This window comes from Homo sapiens, chromosome 11, assembly GCF_000001405.40.
Source record: "Homo sapiens chromosome 11, GRCh38.p14 Primary Assembly".
Classification (NCBI taxonomy): Eukaryota; Metazoa; Chordata; class Mammalia; order Primates; family Hominidae; genus Homo; species Homo sapiens.
In genome coordinates this window covers 94,119,131-94,120,940 of record NC_000011.10, presented here as the reverse complement: position 1 = coordinate 94,120,940, position 1,810 = coordinate 94,119,131, and the positions used below count along the sequence as shown (strand labels likewise).

Here is a 1,810-nt window from a genome sequence, read left to right as displayed (position 1 = left end):
TTAGGATCAATTGACCCTCTAGTGAGTCAGGTGACAGGGGAGTATATTTTCCTAAGGTCTCCCATAGCCACTCGAGGAAGGCAGAAGGATTTTCTTCCTTTGCCTGAGTTATGGTGGACATCATTGAATAATTCATGGGCTTTTTCTTAATTCTCCTTAGTCCTTCTAGAACACAGGTCAACAGATGTTTACAACTCCAGTCCCCATGATGTGAGTCACGATCCCAGTGGGGATCCATACTGGGGATGGCTTGCTGACCAGTAGGGAATTTGTTCCTTTCTTCAGCTGTCATTCTGTCATTTACTTGACTAAGGTACCAGTTATCTCCAAACTCTCAGGCTGCAGCTAAAGCCACATTCTTTTCATTAAAGGCCAGGGTTTGATCTAACAGTAGCATGACATCTCTCCAAGTGAGATTAAAGGTTTGCCCTAGACCCTGTAGGACATCTGTGTACCTATCAGGATCATCTGAAAACTTCTCCAGGTCTGCCTTGATCTGCTTTAAATCAGAGAGGGAGAAGGGGACATGTACCCAGGTTGGGCCAAATTCCTCTCCCCCTACAACTTGAAGGGGACATAACTGATAGCCCAGGGGTTTTTGTGGTCCTTTGGAGATTTCTTTGCTTGTTTCCTTCTGGGTGGGGGAGATTAGAAGAGGCTTATCATTAATACGAAGGGGAGCTATAGGGAGGATAGGATATGGGGGTAAGCTGAGAGGTCCTCCTATGAGATGTAAATTGCAAGCTTTGCATAGTTGTGTGTTCTCCTTCAATGAAAAGAAACCTTGGATATAAGGTATTTCACTCCATTTGCTTTCCCTCTTACAGAAAAGGCTAAGCTGCAGGATAGTATTGTAATTTATACTTCCCTCAGGTGGCCAGTTTTCCCCACCAGAGAGAGAATATTGGGGCCAGACCGTAGTACAGAAAAAAAATGAGCTGCCTCTTTTTCAGGCTTTGCAGGTCAAATTGCTCCCAATGGCTTAGGATGCATTTCAAGGGTAAGCCTGTTGATGCCTGAGTGTTTCCCATCTGAAAGACAAAAACCACCCACGGGTTATTTGTTTCTCCCCCTGCCCAAGAACCCGCAACAGTCCCTGGACCCTGCTGATCAGAATAGTTGCACTCACTGATGCAGCAGCAGAAACACTAATTTTCCTCCTAGACCACAAGGAGGACCAAGGAAGGTCAGATTTAGTGGCCCTTGCAGACACATTCTCGAAAACCCGCACCCTTGCCTGTCCTCCTAGACCACAAAGAGGACCGAGAAAAATCAGATTTAGTGGCCCTTACCGATGCATTCTCGAAAAACTGTTAGAGTCCTAAGCATTCTCCTGTTAGTATTGGGACTTTACTTGTGTCCTATAAAGATGTTTTTCCCCAAAAATGAAGTGGAGGGCCATACCCTGAGGGAGGGACAGGAACTCCAGAGTTGGAAGAGTGATGCCTTTTGTCCTCACTTATATGAATAGGAAGGATAAAATTTCTGAGGCTCCCCATATCCTAGCTTCAGGAATAGCTTTTGTTAGGCCTGCTTGTCTGAGGAGGGATCCTAAAATTCCAGGTAGTCCCCGCTATGATGGAGCTTTGGGCAAAAATTATGTCTTTCTGGTTGGTGAGTCTGGGTGCCTAAAGAAGGGAATAGAGTCCTGAAGTTTATACTAGAAATCATTCTTATAGGAGAAACTAGAAAAGCACCAGAGGCAAGGAGTGGTTTTTAGAAGCAGGACTAGCCTTGGAGAAGAGAGAGGAGAGGAAGTTTGTCTGACAGGCATTAGGACCCAGTAGGCAAGGGTCAGGATAGATAGGAT

At 45.4% G+C, this 1,810-nt stretch overlaps 1 annotated feature.

Moving 5' to 3' along the window:
- Positions 391 to 1,355: an enhancer, noted in NCBI's record as "OCT4-NANOG hESC enhancer chr11:93852752-93853716 (GRCh37/hg19 assembly coordinates)". NCBI's record gives its function as "activates a minimal SCP1, AML or CMV promoter by ChIP-STARR-seq in naive and primed H9 embryonic stem cells {active_cell/tissue: H9 hESC(naive and primed)}" and the evidence as "EXISTENCE:reporter gene assay evidence [ECO:0000049][PMID:30033119]".